Here is a 23,239-nt window from a genome sequence, read left to right on the forward strand (position 1 = left end):
AACAATCCTTGAGTTCCCGCCTATCCCACGTCCAAATAAGTACAAGAATAACAGTGTCCTTATCCCACAGGTTACATGTGAAAAATATCTAGCTGTCTATTGAAGAAGTCAAGGGCATAGCTTCCGGAGCTAGGCACTAAGGTTCAAATCCTAGCTGCGCAACTCCCTAGCAGTTTTCTCATCTGTAAAATGTGCATAATCATAGTATATACTTCACTGAGTGTTGTGGGGATTAAAAGAATTAATATATGTGAAGGACTTCGAAGCGTGACTGGTATATATTAGGTGCTATGTGAGTCGGTTGTTGTTATTACATACTTCCCAATAGTATCATTATCATCATCATCATTATTATTAAGCACTTTACAATAGCAAGAGTTGCCATCAGCAGCCAGTTATGAGGCTGTTATGCTTATCCAGGCTGGACAAATCTGGGCCACTGGTTAGAGGAATGGAGAAGACAAGCTGACACCAAGAGACAGTGCAAAGGCAGGTGCACGACCTTCCACAGATGCCTGGTGCAGGCGGGAAGGAACTGGAGACGCAAAGTGGGACTCCAGGATGCCGCACTGGGGAGCATGGTAGGGCGTGCTCCACAGAGGGAAGGGGGGAAGAGAGAGGACCAGGAGCTTGGGGGCAGACATGCTGGCCTGAGGCCCCTCCAGGACTTCCACAGAGGACGGCCTTGGGCCCAGAGGATGCTTGCTCACCTTGAACATGAAGCTACTTCTTTTTCCCTCCTTGCACAACAGCACTGACTGGACACAAAGCCAAAGTCAACCCCAGGGGAAGATAGGACAAACAATCACAGCAAGTACATCCCCAAGGACCCTTTCTGTTGACACAGGGACATTTCCTGAAGGTTTATTCTGCCCCAGCCGCTCCAGATATGTTATCTCATTTCACCCTGACAATAACCCAGAGGAGCTGTGTGCTCAGAAAGGGTTAAGTGACTTGCTCAAGGTCATGGGGTTAGCAAGGAGCAGAAGTGAAAATTGAACCTAGATCTGTCAGAAAGAGAGGGGGGTCCAGGCTACAGACCCAGAAACTTGTGTTCTGACACCAGAGATGGGATTTCTCTGGGCCTTCATTTGTCTATCTTTAAAATGGGGATATTTGTCCTTCCTGCTCCACTTCTGGTATGACTGAGGATGCTCCTATAGATCAAGTCTCCTGCAGATAACAACTATAAACTCTGCACACACGCACACACACACACACACACATACAGACATAAAAACAAAACAAAACAAAACAAAGCAACTTTCTGAGGGCACTGGAGAGGAAGCCAAGGCAGGCAGATACTGGAGGGCATCAACACTTGCAAGAAAAGTACTGCACTGGGCGAGGTTTTGTCTCTGATGGCTTTTAGCCCAAGGGCAGGCCCTGGTTGGTACCACAGGAGCAGCTAAAACTCGGACAGAAACCCACAGTTTACTGGCTTGAAGAAACAGAAGACAGAACACAGGGCTACTTCAGCTGGTAGAATATGAAGAGAAAACCCCAGAAAGGAGAGAGCCAGAGAAAAGAGCCCCAGATTCTGTGTATAAACTCTGCCCAGATCTCTGGCAGACTCCTGAACCATGCATGCACGAGGTACTCCCTAAGCAACCCAGCTAAGGCTAAAAGAACAAATTTCAGCTGCCACCCAAGAGACAGAGTTGGCAGCTGGAGTCCAACTGCTTGTTTGCTAAAGCAAACAAACAAAATCAACAGTCATCAGAAGAATATAACAGAATCCAGAGTCTCCACACCATCACAGTCACAATGTCCAGGATACAATTCAAAATTACCACAAAAATGTCATAAAAAATGTTACCCATTTTAAAGAAAAATGGCAATCAATGAAGACCAATCCCAAGTTACACAGGGTGCTAGAATTAACAAACAAGAATTTCCAGATAACTATTATAACTAAATTCAATATCTGTCCAACCTACCTCACAGAGTTGTTAAAGGTAAAATATGCAAGCAAAAAGTGCTTTGGAAAGTTTCACATACACTACCTCTAAAAAATAAAAATAGAAGTGGTCTCCACTTTTTATATCTGTTCCCAAAAACCACAGAATAAAGCAAACCATTTTAATATGCATCTTTCTTCTAGGAATAAGTTACACTCAAGGATTGATCAAAACCCTATTGTTAAATAAATCACAAAGACAAAAATGTGTGACTATAAATCAAGGCCTATAATGCCTATTACGCCACAAATCATTTTAAAACGCAAAATGGGCCACATGTCACAGTCTACTTTATGCAGTGGGAGGAGACAGTATGCATAGTGGTTACCATCATTGGTTCTGAAGTTAGACAACCTGGGCTCAAATCTTAGCCTCATGACAGAGAAGCTTTCTTCCAAGGTGAGTTACTTAGCCTCTCTGGACATCAGTTTCCTATTGGAAAATATCAATATTAATGGTCCCTGCCTCTCAGGATTGTTGCCATAATTCACATACAGGCCTGCATAGCAACTTGGTGCACAGTCGAGTGCTTAATAAATAGCAGCCACTGTAAAGGAGGTCAGGGAGAGAAGGAAACTTGCCCAGCATTGTCCAGCTGGCCAATTACAGAACAGGGAGTAGAACCTGGATCTATTTTTCCATTTTTAAAACTCTTCTTCACACAAGTTTTTAAATAGACACACATGCACTATAAATTGGTTATCCCAAGTTCCTTAAGCATTCTAAAACACACACATAAAAACACAAATTATAGCTCTGTCATGGCACAAGTTTGATCAAAAAATTATGAATTTTAGAAATCAGAATATTTTATTTTTAAACTATTTTTTATTCCTTTGAATTTGAAAAGTCTTAAGATGTGGTTTAGAAGGACACTCTCCTTTTTAAAAGGTGACCCTGAAAATTTTACATGAGTGTTTTTCTATTTCCAATCACTTTCACCAGCGCCCACACCAAGCCTCAGAATTCACTCACACATAATCCTCGATAGCATCTTCATATGGGGGGGTCTCGCTGCAGCCTTTGTAAGCAGAGACCAAGCACCTCCTGAATATGGTTCTTTGCATTCACCATTTTTCTTTTCTCTTCCTTCCCATTTCCCTAACAGCTGACACAGCATTAAAGAAGTTAAGCTGTTAAAAAAAAAAAAGGCTTGAGGAGTTAAAGAGGAAAAGTCACATTTCTTTGCCTGAATAATGTGAGGATTGTTATACCTGTTTGTGAAACTTGGGACTTTGTCTTTAAAAAAAAAAACAAACAAACAGGTGTTGGGATGGAAAGCCACTGAGAAAGGCAAAGTGTTCTTCTCTGCATAGCCCTCTTGCTCCCTGTGACCGAGTGAAGGGCTTGAGAAATAAACTACAAGTATTAAACACTAACTGCAAAGAAGAAACAGAGATCATCCAAATAGGCAGATCCAAACCTAAGCCAAGAGCCTCTAGCCCAGTTCTCGTTTTGTGAGAAGAAATTAGAACCTTAAAAAGTTTTCAGAATAAGACCCCAAACAACCAAGCCAGGAAGAGGACAGAAAACCTGGAGGAGCCCAAAGGGGTGCAGGAACTTCTGACAGGTGTATGGTGGGAGGACTGGACCAGGAGGCATTGATGAGAACTCAGCCAGAACATTCTAGAATTACAAGGAACAACCGGCCTGATTAATATGCGGAATCTTGGCAAGGCAGAAACGATTCTCAGTTATGTTTCCCACTCCAGGAGAACGTGACTTCCTGTTCGAAATGGAGGAGGGCTTTGTCCCAACACATGATGATCTTCACAGGCTGACATTCTGGTCTCTTCATTACACAGGAGTGACGCCTGAAGCTGAAGCAATTAACACAATGTTACACGACCGAAAGCTGAGGCAAGGGGCCAGTGTGGAGCCATGGTGAGTCACCAAGAACTCTGGATTCTTCCAGGGGCTGGCACTACCAGGTTGACTGGCCCTGGGAGATTTCTTTCTCCAACAATGGCCTCAGTTTCCTCATCTGCACAGAGTCAGACAGGTAGGGCGACCCCAAAAGTTCATCTCCCTTCTAAATGATACTAGGAAATCTGTTGGCTATAAATGAACTCATCGATAACACTCATTTCCCATTTAGATTTTCTGAGGAAGTGACTTTGGACAACCATGGTGTACACACACGTACACACATACACAAACAGTACTTTCAGTCTGCAATTGCCTGTCTATTCCTTCAGCACAATTAGGTCAACACTGTTGACCACAGTATACCACCTCCACCCCAATACTGGGCCAGACTCCATGATACCAGGTGACTGGGTGTGCTGTGGGGTGCCAAATGTCCACATATTGATCATCTTATCACACCTATTGAAAAATCCAGTAAGACTTGAAGTACCTTCCTGTCAGATGATTAAATAAGGTCCACAAAAATACTCTGTTTTCTTTCTTTTTTCTTTTTTTTTTTTTCCTGAGATAGAGTCTGGCTCTGTCGCCAAGGCTGGAGTGCAGTGGTGTGATCTCGGCTCACTGCAATCTCTGCCTCCTGGGTTCAAGCAATTCTCCTGCCTCAGCCTCCCAAGGAGCTGGGACTACAGGCATGCACCGCCCTGCCTGGCTAATTTTTTTGTATTTTTTTTTAGTAGAAACGGAGTTTCACCGTGTTGCCCAGGCTGGTCTGGAACTCCTGAGCTCAGGCAATCCACCCGCCTTGGCCTCCCAAAGTGCTAAGATTACAGTTGTGAGCCACTGCACCTGGCCAAATACTCGGTATTCTTGAAAGCATTCTATTAGTACAAGGCATTTTTACTTTCTTCCACCCTGCTGGCTACTCCCTCAGAGACGGAGAGTCCCTCAAAGTCCTCCCACTTCTCCCTATCCTTCCCTGTCCTAGAAGCACGAAACCTACCTCTCCGGGCTGCCCTCGCCCTTGTGAACACTGACTTCTCTGACCAATGCCTGTGGTCCTGGTGACCTGGGCTGTGCCACATTCCACACTGTTCTATCGTGCAGTTGCCCACCCAATATGGTGAACAACAGCCCTTGGAGAGGGATTGATTAGGACAAACGCCCTCATTTTGCAGATGAAGGAATGAAGGTTCAAAGGAATTCTTTACATCATTCCTGTCTTGGGGAGGAAATCTTGCACTTACATTTGACTCTTCTTTGCATTTGGTATAAAAATAGCTATCATTTACTGAGAATTATCTAGGGGTCTAACCAATGCCTTTTCTGATGACTTTATTCAATTCTAACAACGCCAGGAAATATACTGCATTTTACAGATAAGAAACTCAGACTCACAGGGCCTAAGTAACTCATCCGAGGTCACAGAGCAAATGAGAGAGATGGGTCTCCCAGCAAATCTGCAGGCCTCAGCCCAGAGCTGTGCCACACTACAGCCCATGCTTTTAATCACTCTGCCAGCACTATTCCCTGACATGCAGGGTGATGGACTGCTACACAGCTGCTGATTAATTAGTGAATGCTGCTGCTATTTGCCCTCCTCCCCCAAGATAAACAAAGGCTGACCATGAGAAAGATACCAGTACACCCCCAGGAAGCCAGCCGATTCTCTGGTGATGAGTGATGCTGGGAACAGCAGACTGGACATCTATGGGCATCTGATGGCCACTTTAAAGCACTCAAGGAGAGGTGAAGAAAAAAAAAATAGGCTCCCCTCCAATGCAATTTTTAAACCACTGATTCACCATGCAATGCAGTGTTAAAGTCAAAAGAACCTTAGCCACTACTGTATTTGCAAAAATTCTGTACTTTGTTTTAAAAAGCACCATTTGTTAGCCCAACATTCCCCATGGAGCCAGTTGGGAGATGACATCTTGACAAGTTGGACTCTTTCGGGACAAAGAATACAAGCTGCATCAGTTCTATTTCTTCCCCAGCCAGAATACACAGGACTAGCCATCAAGGGGTAGAAGCAAAAATGGCTCCTCTCCTCTTAAACCTAGTGATATGGTTTGGATATTTGTCCCCTCCAAATCTCATATTGATATTTGATCTCCCACGTTGGAGGTGGGGCCTAGTGGGAGGTGTTTGGGTCATAGGGGCGGATCCCTCACGAAAGGCTTGCTGTCCTCCTTCGAGGTAATGAGTGAGTTCACGTGAGAACTGGTTGTTTAAAAGAGCATGGCACCTCCTCGTCTCTTGCTTCCTCTCTCACCATGTGACACACCAGCTCCCCTTCCACTTGCACAATGTTTGGAAGCTCCTGGAAGCCCTCACCAGAAGCAGATGCTGACGCCATGCTTCTTGTACAGCTGGTGGAATCATAATCCAAATAAACTTTTTTTCTTTATAAATTGCCCAGTTTCAAGTATTCTTTTATGGCAATACAAACAGACCAAGACACCTAGTATGTTTAGAGTTTTGCTTACCAGCCCCACAATTTTTGAATCTGCAGATTTGGAGCTGCTGGTTCCCAAGAGAGGAATGCTTCCTCCAGGAGACACTGCAATGGTTTTACTGAACTAGAAGTTGAGATTGCCCCTTGGCTATTTTAGACTACCAATGCCACAGAAACAAAAGGCAAAGAAGGCAATTACCCTACTGGGTGAGGTGAATGATCCCAATTTCCACAGGGAAACTGGACTGGTGCCATTGCTGCCATACAACAGGGGCAGAGAAGAGTATGCCTGGCACCTGGAGAGTCTCTAGAGTGCCTCTTGGTACTTCCATGTCCAAGAGTAAAAATCAATGGAAAACTAAAGCAACTAACAGACACACAGAGAGAATCACTGAGGATTGAGATCCCTAGGTTATTCCACCGGGTAATAAATAAACCTCTGCCACAGAAGGTGCTGGCTGAGGGCAAAAGCCAAGTCCCAGCAGTCACGGTTTCCATATTGAAGCAATGTTAATTCCTCCTCTCATTCCACCAATCCCAGATAAATATTCTATATCCTACAGACTGAACCAGGAAAATAATTTATGCCACCCAGAGACAGACACCATGCCAACTGGGACTTTTTGTCTTCCCTTAAGAGTGTGAATACTGCATGAAGCATAGACACATCATAGGCAGAAACAAAGCTGTCCTGCTGTTGTGCCAAGTTGAAAATGTGCAGGAGGATATGTGAATGCTGAGAATCTGAAGGGTTGGACTGTGCTGGTCATTTAGTTGCCATCTTTCTGATCCAAGTCTGACCTGTGTGGTGGGGCGAGGACTGTGCAAACTGCATCCTCGCTTTGCCAGTTGAATTTCTATTGGGTTCTGCCAGTAGGGGCTCAAGATGGAGAAGGCAGAGGGGAACCTTAAAGTCAATATACCTTTACAGAAAGCTGGTGTGCATGTGCAAGAGTTTTAAATTATTCTGAATTATTGCATTTTCATATTAATCATTCACTCATTCAGTCATTCAACAAGCATCCTCAGCACTGAGGCCCTAAGGATTTAGCTGCTTAGAGAACAAGGACAAACCATGCCCTCATGGAGCTTACCATTATGGTTGGAGGACATGGTAAATACCACATAAACAATAATATGATTTCAGATGATCGTAAGTTCCACAAAGAAAATAAGATAGAAACAGAGGTTGACAGTGAGTTGGGCAAGGAAAGAGGCTGTTTGGGGCAAGGTGGTAAAAGAAGGCCTCTCTGAAAAGCTAGCATTTAGGCAGAGACTATAAGGATGGGAGGGAAGAGTGAATGAACTGGGAGAAGACCTGGGACCCAAGGCTTCTAGGCAGAGGGGCTCCATTACCCCATCAGAGAGAAACACCCTGGGTCATGTGCTATAAGAGGTATTTGGAGCAATGCCACAGTCGAAGGAGACTCACCATCGTGGGGGAAACTGTTTGTTTACTTTCAGCAAATCCTACAAATCAGATATAGCTTAGTGGTTGAGTTCATGTCCTCACTCTGGCATGTGGTTATTTTTCTTTACTTTCAATTTACATTGCAAGCCTGGAGAGAAATGAATTACATCCCCCTGGGTTTCTCTGTTCCGTACAATTAAGAAAAGCTATTTCTTAGTCATAAGGCGGATGACGACACCAAGATTTCCCATTTTCTCTCCACAGGGAGGCTGTCATCACTCAATATTAATTGATCCTACTTTTCATCCATAAAGCAGGGGCTGAAACAAATTTTTGGTCACAAAAATGGCAACTATTACACTATTAAGGTAAATTATTAATGGTGCCTCCATTAAAGCACACTCCTGCTCACATGGCATCAGCTACCTCAATGCATGGTTGTTTCTTTAATGGGGAAAAAGGAGTAAATTATTTGGTTTTTTTCCTGAAACTGGATTAATCACCTGCACCTATCTCATTTAAGGTTGCTGGGGATTTTCCACAGTTTCATCACAACTGAGAACACACAGATAGGGCTGTAATATGTCTTGAATTCCCAGCAGGAAAGTGTGTCAATTGAATGCAATTTTATTTTTCTGCTAGAGAGCAGATAAAGTGAAAACAGCAAGAAGACACAAGAAACTTTCACAAGTTGAGGAGAGCTAGTATCATTTAAAAAAATGTTTCCCTAGACAAATAATTTGATGCTTATTTTTAGAGAGGCTGTGGTGGTGCTGAATTAGGGAAACCTAGTTTAAAAAAAGAAAAGAAAAAGGAGAAAAACAACCAAGTTGTATCTACAAATAAACAACCTGCAATGAATCAGGGACATATGGGAAGAGCCAAACCTCATTACCACTGACGGCAGCGACCAGATGCTGGCACCCAGGAAAAAACAATTTTCCTATTCAAGGGAGGGCTCTGCTGCCCACACTTCCAATTCCTTCTCATTTATTTACATGAGTGCTAGGGCCTTGTGGAAGGCTAACCACAGGACATTTGCATCTCATCAATATGTTTAAATGTCACAAATCTTGACTTTCACAGCTGAAAGCCAGGCTTAGCCACTTACAACCAGGCTGATGAATAACTGGTTGACGCAGAAGGCATTTCTTAAACATATAATTTAATCTGAGAAGTGATGAGCTCTGCTCAACAGGCCCATGGCATGAAATTAGAAAAACATGCTAAGCATGTGTCTCCACAGTATCAAAGAAATGACAAAAATGGAAAAATCAACACAGTGATCATTTGCTTCTAGATTAGCAGAAGAACATCGTAGGGACCACTCTTGTTGATGGTCTTTAAAGGACCATCGCTCCCATCTCCCAGGTGCTGTGTGGTGGCTGCTAAGCACTCACAGCTGCCCCTTCCTCTGGAAAATTGTCCCCAACCAAACAGGAGCTTCCTGGGGGAGTTTAAGTGACTTGAGAGTGTCACAAAAACTATTAATGTGACCCCTTTGTTATACTCACTGTGACACAGACTGTGGGCTGTGTCAATTAAAACCCATTTCCACCTCTTTCTAGCTAATCTTCCTGAAATATAGAGCCCGGGGGCCAAAAGCTACATTTCCCATCTCCCAATAAGGAAACTGAGGCACAGAGAAGTGAAGTGACTTTCTCAAGCTCACACAGCTAATAAGCAGCAGAGCCAGAATTTGAAACCAGGTTGGTTCAAGAGTCTGTGCTCCCAACAACTCCATGATGTTGTCTCTCATATAGAAGCAAGACTTTTTAACATAAACTGCCTGCATTATTAATATATAACAAATTACCACAAAACAGTGGCTTAAAACAACATTTATTTTCTCACAGTTTCTGTGAGTCAGGAATCCAGGTGCAGCTTATCTGGGTGCCTCTGGCTCAAAATCTTTCATGAGGTTGCCTGAGGACATTGGCCAGGGCTGAAGTCATCTCAAGGCTCCACTGGGGGAAGATCCACTTCCAAGCTCATGCACACAGTTGTTGAGCAAGATTCAGATTCACTTTCCCCAGGGCTATTGGGCTTAGGGCCCCAATTCCTCACTGCCTGTTCACAGGAAGCCTCCCTCAGTTCCTTGCCACATGGGTCTCTCCACAGGTCAGCTCACAACACGGCAACCAGTTTCCTTCAGGGGAGTAATCAAGAGAGAGCGGGAGAGTGCAAGATGGAAGCTACAATCTTTTTGTAACCTAATCTCGGAAGTGATAACCCATCACTTTTGCTGTATCCTGTTCACTAGAAGCAATTCACTAGGTACACAAGGCCGTGGATACCAGTAGGCAGGGGTCACTGGGGGCCATCTTGGCAGATGTCCACCATGCTACTTGATATCATAACACTAATGAGCAGGAAAGTTGAGTTAAAGTTGCTTTTTCATTAGGTAACTTGGCTCCCAAACCCAAGCACTGTATAGTACTCTAACATTCCTTGCAGGTAGGAGAACAAAACCTTGGCTGGTTCACCCCTCAGGGACACTGATCCCCATCACTTGCCTTAAGCCACTTCTGAATTCACACTTTATATCCAAGAAAGTAAATGGTATTAAGAAAAAAGATATTTTCTTGGTTTTTAGTTGTTTTAGGCTAATTCATTAAATGAAGTCCACAATAAGAAACTACTTATAGACATGAGAGTAAGTTTTTGTTTTCATTTACAGTCTCTAGATTGGCAAGAAACAGTGGTAAGAAAAGAAACAGTTGGATCACCAGTCTGAGGGATATGGAAGGCAATCCAGAAAAACCTCAACATCCTTCTCCCCATTCCTTGCACACCTTTACAGCATTATTCCAGCCTGGGCTATTAGAAACAGCATCAGTAACTTTTCTTTCACACACTTCATCTCGACCATTTCTCACCAAGCAAGCCATGATGGACTGAAGACCGGTGAGCCCATGCTCAGGGCATCTTTGATGCATCTATTAAGGCCTTAAAAGTTCAGCCTGTTGGCATCAGCAGCCCTGATGAGTCCACTCACCCCCAGGAAGCTCGTTTGATTGAGGTACCTTTTCCAAGCTGCAGTTTGGTTGGTGGGTCCAAAGATTAGATTTGGTTTAGGATTTCCAGGGCCCCCTGCACCTACCAAACAGCAGACAAGTCTCTAGCCATGCAAGGTGCAGCAGGCCAAAGGCAAATAATGGTAAATCATGGCAGATGCTTCTCCAAGATAACACACAGACTCTATTAGGGCTATACCCAAGCTGGCCTGGTTTCCAGATATAGGAGAACAGACACCAGACTAGGACATTAAAAACTCCAGAATTTGGTGGGATGTTTCAGACGCTGTTTCCTACATTGAGAGACCTTACTATCTTGTTCACCATTGCATGCTCAATACAGAGCCTGAAAAAGAGTAGATAATCAATAAATATTGAATGGATCAATTTTGTTAAGTAACTTTGCCAGACAAGACTGCTTTCTCCAAAAAGAAAAGTCCACCCACAAGCTTGCCAGCTCCCTTGGGAATATATTATTATACCTATCTTGTGTCAAAGCAACATGCATTCCTTATAGTGCCATGTTGTACTCATGCTTACAAACTAATTCTGAGCTTACACTAGGGATGCCCAAGTGAAATAATCCCTTCCCTCTTTTAAGAGGGCCCAATGAGGCTGTCAAACTAATGTGTACTCCTCCTGATAAATCATGTGTATGTACCTGCAAAGTATGTTTATGCAACAGAATAGAAAAACATCTCAGTGGCTGCTAAGTGTAGCAGGTACTCCTTGCCCATGTAATTTTTACTTATCAGGAGCCCTGACCTGTAAACAAAGAAGAGTATGCCTGAAACACAGAACTGAGGAAATGACCTTCTAGACTTAATGACAGTGGCATGCAACTTGAGGCCAGAATCACCTACCTTTTCACACCAGATTTGCTTTTGAAAATATTTCGTAGATAAAATTCAACAGGACTCCTGTCTTCTGAAGCATTGGTGAAATATGGTCAAACTATAAAATGACAGTGGACCCAGTGAAATTAGAGAAAGCTTAAAATTCTTTAACGCAATATTGCTAATAATAATTAGTAGGGTGCATAGAATATTAACTTGTTTTCTGTTCCGCTTTAACCAAATTAGATAACAATTATTACCACTACCTCAAGGCTGCTTTTATGAATCCCTGCAGAAAAATAATTTGGTTTTGCTTTGACAGATAACAGTCATCAGCAAGGAATTTCATTTTACTGAAGGCAGGCTTAGTTGCTGAAATTTACTGCTTGGGTTACACACATATGCACATGCACACACACACACAGACACACACACACACACACACACACACACACACCTGAGCCCATTTTCATACAAGACTGAGTAGTGTTGCTTCTTGGTCTGGATTTAGAGTAGCTGGGAAAACAGCATGAAGAGTTTTTACATTCAGAAAGGAATGCAAAGGAATGTAAAGAATGCCTTCCTTCCTTTTAAATCTAATCTTATTACTCCCATTAGTGAATATTTAACAATAACACTAACGCTAATAGCAGACTTGGTCGCAACATCAAAAGCAACAATACCAAAGATGAATATAACAGCTTTGCTCAGAAAAACTTAAAGCTACGTCACACATATTATCTCATTTATCTTTTGAAAATCTCTTCAAACTGTAAGAGCATATTTATCTACTTTGAGACATGTTTTATGGGAACCGATTTCCTTATTACTCTTTGCATCTTCTGTTTAAAAACATGGTCTGTTTTTAACACACCTCCCAGCCAGAACCTCAACTCATAACTCATGCCATTGACTTCCTTGCATGAATCTCAAAAACAAAAACCAACTCTTAGCAATTATAGAAACCGGAAACAAAAATGAAACACAAGTAGGAAGTTAAATAACTTCACTGCATCCAACAATTGCTTTTGCCTAAACTGAAATTAAATAAATAGACACACACACACTCTCCATAAAAACTCTGCTACACAATTTATTAATGAACAGTGAAAAGAAACAGAAGCCAAAAGTGGGTCAGGAGAAACTGTTTAATCTAATAGTCTGGAAATTATATTGGAAGAAACAGATGGTTTCACAGAAGTCAATGTTACCTAGAGGAGCAAGGAGCGATTTTCTAGGAAAGAAAAATGTTTCCCTACCCTACCGCATATACTATTTTCAGCAAAGGAGGAGTCTATATTCAGCACAGGAAAAGTCCCGATATTGGCACACTTACAAAACTGGGACTAAGTGGCAGCCATCCACACATACTCAAGCTCAGACTTGGCCTTCTGAATCTGAGCTGGAGGTCAAACCTAGCCCTATTTTAAAGCTGGGAACAACAGAAGCCAGCACTACGCTCCAGTGGGTTATTGACCAACACTCATGTTCTTGATACCTAAGGAAAGTGGTCACCAACAGGTCATGGGCAGCATGACCCTTAATGTGGCTCCGGACCCTCAGAGACTCTGTGGGTCCCAGGCAGCAGCAAGACACACAGGGCACATGGAGTCGGAAGACCTCAGTGCAAGCTGCGGCTCTGTAAGACAAGACCACCCTATTTGTCAGGCTCCCTATTTGTCAAGCAGAACAAAAAACATCTCTAGACTTGTAAGGATGAATTGAGCTAAAGTATATCAAGCTGCATTGCAAACAACACAGCATAAGACAATGCTCAACCACTCAGTCTATTCTCATCCCCACCATCTATGATTCACCAAAACATGCAGCCAAATTCTCCCTAGAGTAGGGCTCAATCAAAAAGAGAACATCAAAGCTGGGGTCCTTGAATGACCGATCACAGCCAACCAAATCTCAAAGCCATACCCGAGGGACCTTTGGTATTGTCCACAATCCTTAAGAGTAAAGAATTGAAGAAGGCAAGTCTGAGTTCTGATTCTAGCTCATCACACATTCGTTGCAGAACCACGGGCACATTAGGTAACCTCACTGAGCCTTGTTTCCTCATTTGTAAAATCAAGATCTCTATAAGGATTAATTGACACTGAGCACCATGCATGCCACATTAGCTGTTATTACTGTTGCTACTGTTAACAATGATTATATCAATACCAGCAGCATCCAAGTCCACTGCTCCATCACAATACATCAGCTGCAGGGATCCCCAGAGAGGCCAGGGAGGGCGCAGGGGCAGAACAGCCTTTCTGCCATGAAGATGAAGGACTGTACGAGGAGGAGCCTCCCACCGGGGTGAGCTTAAATTTGCGGAAATATAGAAAGTCCCGCCCCACCCAACTCTGACCCTGGGGCCTCTTGCAGCAGTATCAAGGGCTGCTTAGAGCCTCCCTTCTAGCCATCCACCTTCCCTCCTCCAGGGCTTCTGACATTTTGCTCCAAGGTTTGTTTGTTTTTACTTAGAAAAAATGCCATCAACGTCAGTGACTGTATGCTCAGTTCTGCTGAAGAGCTGCAAATGTTATAGATGGATTTGTTATGTTCTAAAACTGCAGGTATCATATTTACAGAGAGGTAATAAATACCTCATTAAGGAAAGGCAAAACAAACACTTCAGAGTACTTGAGGCTCTATCTAAAGGAACCCCATGGTGAAACCCACTTTAAACCAAGAATCCTCCTGTAATGCAAATAAGTACTCATCCCCTCCAATTCTCTTCCTTCCTTTCCCTAGTTTACGATGTTGGGCTCCCCTGTAAAGCACCCCCCTCCCTCCCAGAACCTGCAGGCACCAGCAGCCAGGTATCCATCTTAGCCAGCTCCCTGAGACATCACAGACTTAAGCTGAGTCTGTTGACACCTGTTCTGTAGTGTCAACTGTAGGTGGGGTGGGGACACAGAACCAAACCACAACACCAAGACTGACTTAATGGGTCTGGTGTGCAGCTGGGCATGGGAACTTTTTAAACAAACTTTGAGAATCATTGTGTCACCTTGTATCCTTATTTTTATTCCTCTGGCCTGTCCTCCCAAATATATTCCAAGTCACCTAAAGAAAGTAAGTTATGATTTGGTCATAATACATAGGTAGGTAAGTAAACATTTGTTGAATTTATTTTATACTCAAAAGATCACACTAGTATAATTTTTTTCTGCCATCTCCACTCAAATTAAAAAAAAAAAAATTGTACTCCACATGATCTTTTAAGGTTCTCCAAGTGTGGTCCCCAGACCAGCAGCATCAGCATTGCCTGGGAACTTATTACAAAAGCAGATTCTCAGGCCTTGCCCTAGACTTACTAAATCAGAAACTTTGAGGATGGGGCCCAGGACTCTGCATTTTGACAAGCCCTCCAGGCTATTCTGATTCACTCTCAAGGTTGGGAACCACTCCTTTAAGCTAATGATTAGTTTTAAAGGCTTTTCTGGAGATTGACATTATTTTAGATGAGGCCATGGAACTGGCCTATCATCTCCCTTCACGAAATCAGAAAGGCTAATAGTGCCAGGATTTATAACTAGCCATTAGGCACCCAAACACTTAGCTCCCCACAACTTTCATTTCTTAATTTTCAGAATATAATGTAAATCATGATCCATTTTTTTAGATTAGTCTTTTTCCCAGCCGTGAAGGGAGACTGAAAGGACAACTCTTATAAACAATGATTATCAGCTGCTTCTGTAGTTGTGTGTCAGACTAACACCCCCCAGACTGGAGGTCAAAGAAAAACTGGACCTGTAGAAAACTTATTGCGCAATGTGCATGTCTTGAATAAGGAATGTCATCCTGTTATTATCATGACCACCCAAAATTTATATACAGAGTTTAAGGCTAGAATGCTGGTGGCCGAAAGCCAAGTATGAGCCTGGTCAGCACAATGTCGAAGAAAACATCCCGAAAATCAGTTCTTAAAGTCCTCTTAGACAGGAAAACCACAAAGATGGGAATTTGTAAAATGCAGCAGTGTGGAATGATCCTCGAAATTGTAATGCGTGTCATGGGAATGTCTTATAAGGAGGAACTTAAGAATAGAAATAGAAGAAGACAAGCTTGAGAAAGGGGCAAAGGTGAATAAATTACCTTTGAACTTTTTCATGTTGAAGCCCTTCAATTTAGTTTAAACCCACCACAGCACACAGAAGATTCAGGAACCAAGAAAGCCAAAGTGAAGGCTTTGCTGTTCAGTAAAACTACAAGATATCCTGCAAAGCTCCAAGTGCTTGGTGGCCTAGCAAGTTTCTTTTATAACTGCTCCAAACTCAATATCTCAATTTATTCTTCTATACCGTGGGGGTGACTCCACCTACCTCATAAGATTGTTGTTAGTTTGTTTAGAAGAGATTAATACAACAGTAGGTGCTGAATAAAAAGTAACTCTGATTATTACCTATAAAAAATGAAGCTCTCTACTCTCATACATTGTTGTTGGAAATGTAAAATAGAACAAACACTTTGGAAAACAGTTGAGCAGTATCTTATAAAGGTAAACATGTATTTAGCATAAACCCAACAATTCCACTCCTACATATTTCCCCAACAGAAGTGAAAACATCCACACAAAACACTTGTTCGTGGATATTCAGCTTTTTTTTTTCATAATAGCCCCAAACTGGAAATTTCCCAAATGTTCAACAGGAAAATGATTCAACAAATTGTGGCACATGCAAACAAGGGAATATTACTCAGAAACAAAAAGGAATTAACTCTTGATACACACAACAGCAAGGACTCAATACATACAACAGCACAGACTCCATGCATAAAACAGCACGGACTCCATACATACAACAGCAAGGACTCCATATATACAACAGCAAGGACTCCATATATACAACAACAAGGACTCCATACATACAACAGCAAGGACTCCATACATACAACATCAAGGACTCCATACATACAACAGCACAGATTGAACTGCAAAGGCATTAGGCTGAGTTAAAGAAGCCAGAGGCACACACACGGTATGATTCTATGTACATGTTATTCAAAAAGAAGCAAAACTATTCAACAGTGACACAGCAGATCAGCAGTTGGCTGGGTCAGGGCAGGCACCTGAGGGAACTTTCTGGGGTGATGGAAAAGTTTTATATCTTGAGTGTGGTGATAGTTCTACAAATGTTTACACCTATCAGAACTCATCACCCAGGCACTTCATATGGGTGTGTTTCATGGTATTTAAATTATAGTTCAATAAAGTTATTCAAACAAATATCACTGCGACACCCTTCAGTGGACTGGCAGTTGGCGCTGAGCTCTCTTTCATGTGCGGTGGATAAGCTTTGAGTGGAAAGAGCTGAAACACTGGATTCTGGGCCCACTTACTACTTGTTACCTGCCAAATCAATTTCTTCATCTGAAAAGAAAAGAAAAATACCTTCCTTTCAACTTTCGGGGCTACTTGAATCATCAAGTGAGAGCATTATTGGAGAATGCTTTAAAGCAGACTCAGCATCTGGCTGTGGGGAACTCGTGTCATCCCAGGTGCCCAGCACACCCACCTCCTCCTCTGCTTTCTGCTTTCCTTCACCTGCCAGGCAGTCCCTAGGACCACCTCCTAATTTCTCTTTCCCCCACTCCTTTTCTTGTCCCCACTGCCACTGTCTTGACTGAGGCCACCTTTACCTTGCCTGATGACTGCAATGGTTTCTATATGTTTCCCCTCCCCCAGCATTGCCCCTTCCATCCTTCCTCATTCTAAATCCAGAGAAATCTTTCCAGAATGAGAATCTGATGTCACCTGCACCCCCTCCATCTTAAAAACCTTCAGTGCTTTTGAGCTTAGACTCCTCAGCCCAACACCTAAGACCTTTCATCATCTGGCCCTACTTTCTTCTCCCCCAAAGAACATGCTCCAACCAAACTGAACTGCCTGTGGCTCCCCACATATGCAGGGTTATCTCCGTGTTTTGATCCCTCCCACAAGTTGTCTCCTCTTCGTGAAAAGATTATCTGCTTCCACCCTCTTCTCCCATCTTTTGCCTGACTAACAGCCAACTGTCCCTGGCACCAAATTTGCATAAAACTCCAAATCCACCTGAGGATTTCAAGTCTTCCTTGACACACAGACTCCTCCATCAAGCCTGGGCTACCACCATCCCATCAGTCTCCATTACTCTAGCATCAAGTACTGGTTCTTCATCTGTGAGAGAGTTTGAACCAAAGTAAAATACCAATCTATAGTCTGGTGCTATGGACTGAATTGTGTCCTTCCAAATCATCCTAACCCCTAAAGTGACTACATTTGGAGTAAGAAAGTAATGAAGGTCAAATCATGTCATAAGGATGGGGCACAACGTGATGGGACTAGTGTCCTTACAAGATGAGACACAAGAGAGCTTGTGCTCGCTCCTGTTCTCTCTTTCTCACTCTCTCTGTCTTCCCCCCAACCCCCGTCTTCCCTCCCTCCCTCTCTGCCATGTGAGGACACAATGAGAAGGCTGTTGTCTGCAAGCCAAGAGAGCCCTGACCAGAACCCAACCATGCTGGCACCTTGATATCCAGGGTAGCAACTTCCAGCCTCCAGAACTATGAGAAAATAAGCATCTGTTGTTTAAGCCAGTCTGTGGTATTTTATTATGGCAGCCCGAGCTGACTAAGGCAACCCAGGAACACCTCCTGTCTAGTTCACCCAAATGTCCCCAAGACATGGCATCTGGCCCAAGGTTGACCTTCAATAAATATCTGTGGAATCAATGAATCCTCTTATGGTCACTATGAACCTAAGGGCAAATCTTCATGATAAAATGGTACATTGTTATGACTTAGAGACACAGATTCTGACCTGAAACCGAATTTTCCTCTCTTGAAAACAGACTAGAACAGTGTTAAGCTATAGAACTTTCGGCAATGATAAAAACGTTCTCTGTCTGCGCTGTCCAATAGCAGTCACCAGCCACACATGGCTACTGAGCACTTGAAATGTGGCTAGTGTGACAGAAGAACAGAATATTCTATTTTACTTTGTTTTAATTAATGATTACATATAAATACCATGTGGCTGGTGGCTCCTGTACTAGTCAGTGCAGGACTGGACCATTCAAGGAAGGCCCAAGCCCTGGGCACCGGCCTCATTACACAGATTGCTCTCCGTGCCAACTGTCCCTGGCACCAAATGTGCATAAAACATAGTCGATTTTCACAGAGCTGACATAGGTAGCTTTCAAGTGGTGTTAGAGTGGCCTGGCACAGAGAGGCTGGCAAAACGCTCACATAAAAGGCATAACGGGGTACCGTTTTGCAGAAATTGTGATGCTTTATGGGCCTCCATCTGCGATGAAACCCATCAAAGGGCAGGTTCATCCCTCGGTGACCAGAGTTAATTGAAAATTTAAGACCCAATCAAATCACCCAGAATTGAGATTTTTGGCAGCTTATGTGCTTCACTGTAAGATTCCTGCTGCTTTCGCCTCTGCCAGCCCCACAAGTGAGGCTGCATGTTCCAGTATCTTCAACAACAGCACTGAGCTTTAAGCAAGGGACAAACTCAACAGTGTTAACTGTGATCCTGACTTTTTTTTTTTTTTTTTTTGAGACGGAGTTTCACTCTTGTTGCCCAGGCTGGAGTGCAATGGTGCGATCTCAGCTCACCGCAACCTCTACCTCCCAGGTTCAAGCAATTCTGCCTCAGCGTCCCGAGTAGCTGGGATTATAGGCATGTGCCACCATGTCTGGCTAACTTTGTATTTTTAGTAGAGATGGGGTTTCTCCATGTTGGTCAGGCTGGTCTCGAACTCCTGACCTCAGGTGATCCCCCTGCCTCGGCCTTCCAAAGTGTTGGGATTACAGGCGTGAGCCACTGCACCCAGCTTATCCTCACTTTTTGGAAAATGCACATGGCACCCTTCCTACCTAAGCCATCAGGTGGACATGGGCCAATACCTCCCTGACTTGTATTTGCCTAAGAGTCAAATAAGCATCGTCTCCATGAAAAATAAGTGTATAGAGTGTCATTTAAAAATCTGCTATGGTTAAAACCTTATGGAAGAGGAATCTTCTTATACCATTCTACATGATAATAAGTTTTCTAACAACAACATTCCAGTTGGTGTTAATGCCTATTTGTGTCGCATCTTGCAGTCTGGCATCACAAGAGCTTTGATGCCCAAGATTCTAGAATTCTATATTCGAATTCTTCCCCCAACCACTTCCTAGCACTGCCTCTTTGGGCAAGTTACTTAACCTCGCTGAGTATCCATTTCCTTGTCTGCAAAAAGAAATGAGTGTATCCACCTACCTTACTGGGTTACTGCAAACATAAAATGACATAAGAAGCCACACAAAGATGAATGTTCATAGCAACTTAACCTGTGATAGCCAAAACCTGGAAATGACCCAGATGTTTATCAACCAGTGAATGGAAAAACAAACTGTGGTACAATCAAACAACAGAATACTACTCAGCAGTAAAACAGAAAACACACCAAACAACATAAATCAATCTTAAATGAGTAAGTTGAGTGAATGAGAAGAGCTAGGTTTTGAAAAAGAGTACGTACTATTTGATTCCATTTATATAACATCCTGGGAAATAAAATCAGTGATGGAGGCCGGGTGAGGTGGCTCACACCTGTAATCCCGGCACTTTGGGAAGCTGAGGCAGGCAGATCACCTGAGATCAGGAGTTCGAGACCAGCCTGGCCAACATGGCAAAAGCCTGTGTCTACTAAAAATAAAAAAATTAGCTGGGCATGGTGGCGGGCACCTGTAATCCCAACTACTCGGCAGGCTGAGGCACAAGAATTATTTGAACCCAGGAGGTGAAGATTGCAGTGAGCCGAGATTGCACCACCACACTCCAGCCTGGGCAACAGAGTGAGACTTCGCTTCAAAAAAAAATCAGTGATGGAGAGGAGATTAGTGGTTGTCTGGGGTTGGAGGGATAACAAAGGGGCATGAGGAAACTTCTGGGGCAATGGAAATGTTCTGCATCTTGATGTGATGAGGGTTTTATGGGTTGGAACACTTTAAATATGTGCAATGTAGTGTACTTCATTTATACCTTGATAAAGCTGAAAAATTTCTGAAACATGAGAGCAGGCCAGTGCAGTGGCTCATGCCTGTAAGCCCAGCACTTTGGGAGGCCGAGGTGGGTGGACCACTTGAGGTCAGGAGTTCAAGACCAGCCTGGCCAACATTGTGAAACCCCATCTCTACTAAAAATACCAAAATTAGCCGTGTGTAGTGGTGCATGCTTGGAATCCCAGATACTCAAGAGGCTGAGGCATAAGAATCACTTGAACCTGGGAGGCAGAGGTTGCAGTGAGCTGAGATCACAACATTGCACTCCAGCCTAGGTGACAGAGCGAGACTCCATGTCAAAAAAAAACAAAATAAAGAAAGAAAAATGAGGTGAGGACGTAATGTCCTATCACAGGACTGGGCACATAGTAGCACTCAACAAACGTCAGCTCCATTCTGGAGAATAAAGAATAATCTCATTAGAACTCCTGGGAGAAAAACATGAGAGACCGCCAGGGAAAGGAGTCAGCATTTAGTTCTAGGTTTACTAGGACCCGACTATGCAAGACAGGCTCATCTCAGCTAGAAAGCTGAACAAGGAAGACAAACAGAAAGATAAACAAGGCTTGGTCCTTGCCCTGAGGGAAACACAAATAGGTTTAATATATGATGTAATCAAAATGTCAAAAGGACAGTATTGACAAACTACAGGCGTGCACAAGAGACTAATTCTGATAGAATGGTTGTCAAGAAGGAACAAATCCAGGTGGGTGGGGTCCTAGCAAGCAGTAAGAGGTAGGGGCCTGTGCAGAAAGAGCTGCCTGCACTGAATCAGAGAAGCAGAGAAAGGAGGGTCCTAGGCGGGGGCAGTGGGCACGACACACTGTCCTCCAGGGAACAATAGGGGGAGGATCTGGGAAGGGCAAGACCAAGCTACAGAAAGCCCTGAGCTCTGGCTTGAATCTCAACTTCATCCATCCAGGGGAACCCCCTAAAGAGTTGTGCAGAATCAGATGTGTGTTTTACACAAGCAGGTCCTATCTACAGGGCAACTGGGCAATTTATCAAGAGTGCCGACATTCGCATCCCTCAATTCAGTAATTCCTGAGGAAATAGTCAGAAATGTGTACAAAGATTTATGGACAATATTGCTTATCACAACATTATTTGTAATAGCCCAAAGCCCAAAATAACTTAAATGTCCAATAAAAGGGGACTGCAAAATAAATTATGGTACACTGAGTGATTAAATCATATATAGCCATTAAATCATACTTTCCGAGCATAGGCATGACAGGTGCACACCTCACTGTACAATGTTAAGTCGCATAAAAGCAGGATTCAAAAATACATGGTGAGTATTCACTCAGCAAATATTTGCTGATTATCTATTTAAGTGCCAGGCACTGTCCTAAGCACTGAGGGAGCAGCAGAGAATAAAAGAGAGAAAATCCCTGCACTCATGGGAAGGGATTCTCTCTTCTAATGAAGAAAGGCAGACAACAAAGAGGAAACAAATAGCAATAAGCAAGATATATAGCAGGTTACATGGTAAGAAGTGCTATGGAGAAAATCAAGAGGGGAAAGACATGGAGAATTGGGGAGAAGGTAGAAATTTTAAAGAGGTGGTCAAGGAAAGTTTCAGAGAGAAGGGGGTTAAGAAGATGAGCAGGGGGATCCTGGGGGAGGACTTCCAGGCAGAGGAACAGGCAGTGCAAAAGCCCAGAGGAGGCCTGGCAGGTTCACAAAAGAGCAAAGTCAAAGCAGCGGAACACCAAAGACAAGCAGTGGGAGAATGCGGTCAAGGAGAGCTATGTCACTCCTGGTGTGGTGGCAGCCACAGGAGAGCTCTGAGCAGAGAACTGGCAGGATCTGTAGGAGGACGAGGGCAGGAGCAGGGAGGCCACGTGGGATATCCCCCAGTGTTGTCCTAGCTCATTATAATGGGTGTATGTTTATTTCATAAGCAGAAAACAAAAGATAATTCCATCAAGGACAGCACAATGCACAAAAGCAGTGTGGATGCTGCAGCTGAAGCTCAGGGAAACAAACAAATAAGGAGGTCGGGGAAATCATTCAGAGACCAGCTATGAAGCAGTGGGGGGACAAAGCACTGCATGGAAACTTCATGTGTTTGTGAAGGTTCTTAGGAGCAAAGTTACTCTTCGTCATAATGAAAAACACATAACCACGATGCAAAAAACAAACAAACAAACAAACAAAACAAACAAAAAAAAAAAACAACTGCAAATGGGAGAAAAAAGAATTCCCCCAACATCTCAGCATCCTAATACTTAACATCTTGATATACTTCTTTTCAATCCTTTCTCCTAGACACGCTTTTGTTTTTCCCTAATCCTCCCGCAATGCCCAGCACATTGTAGGCACTTAAAAATTCACTGAACAAAAAAATGGAGGGCCAAATGCATGACCAAATGCTCCAAATAATTGTATGTTACATTAGCTATATTAGAGGCATTTACAGACATGGTTTTAATAGGCTTGAGTGAAGGAATGGCAACTACACACAGGGGGAAGGCATGGTCATAGGTATCTGCACGTTTAAGAGGATGGTGGTGGCATGACTGACCCATCAAGGGCACCGGAAGGGAGCAATCTGAAAAGGAAGATGCTGGCTTCAGTTTTGGTGACTTGTTGAGGGGGATGCACAGAATGTCCCTGCAGAGACACTCAGCTGTCCTTTTTCAGAGCTC

At 43.3% G+C, this 23,239-nt stretch overlaps 1 protein-coding gene and 1 long non-coding RNA gene across 11 annotated transcripts in view, besides 1 other annotated feature; one reads left to right on the forward strand and one right to left on the reverse strand.

Moving 5' to 3' along the window:
- RFTN1 (raftlin, lipid raft linker 1) overlaps positions 1-23,239 on the reverse strand; it is a 197,855-nt gene that overhangs the window by 153,180 nt on the left and 21,436 nt on the right. The window contains exons 1-2 of one of the 10 annotated variants that reach the window (XM_047447781.1): positions 3,495-3,775; positions 2,937-3,094 (exon numbers count right to left, since the gene is read on the reverse strand). The exons of 8 other annotated variants lie outside the window; for them this stretch is intronic. In XM_047447781.1, coding sequence (XP_047303737.1) covers positions 2,937-3,094; positions 3,495-3,586 — 250 coding nt within the window. In that variant the 5' untranslated portion in view covers positions 3,587-3,775. Of the gene's footprint in view, positions 1-2,936; positions 3,095-3,494; positions 3,776-23,239 lie in introns of those variants that run through there. One more of the 10 variants, XM_047447779.1, reaches the window with a different exon arrangement.
- LOC124906219 (uncharacterized) lies at positions 3,767-20,508 on the forward strand. The gene is made up of 3 exons (XR_007095839.1): positions 3,767-3,845; positions 7,961-8,064; positions 10,377-20,508. It is a non-coding gene; the product is annotated as an uncharacterized LOC124906219 (long non-coding RNA).
- Positions 13,656-14,508: an enhancer, noted in NCBI's record as "OCT4-NANOG hESC enhancer chr3:16524187-16525039 (GRCh37/hg19 assembly coordinates)". NCBI's record gives its function as "activates a minimal SCP1, AML or CMV promoter by ChIP-STARR-seq in naive and primed H9 embryonic stem cells {active_cell/tissue: H9 hESC(naive and primed)}" and the evidence as "EXISTENCE:reporter gene assay evidence [ECO:0000049][PMID:30033119]".

This window comes from Homo sapiens, chromosome 3, assembly GCF_000001405.40.
Source record: "Homo sapiens chromosome 3, GRCh38.p14 Primary Assembly".
Classification (NCBI taxonomy): domain Eukaryota; kingdom Metazoa; phylum Chordata; class Mammalia; order Primates; family Hominidae; genus Homo; species Homo sapiens.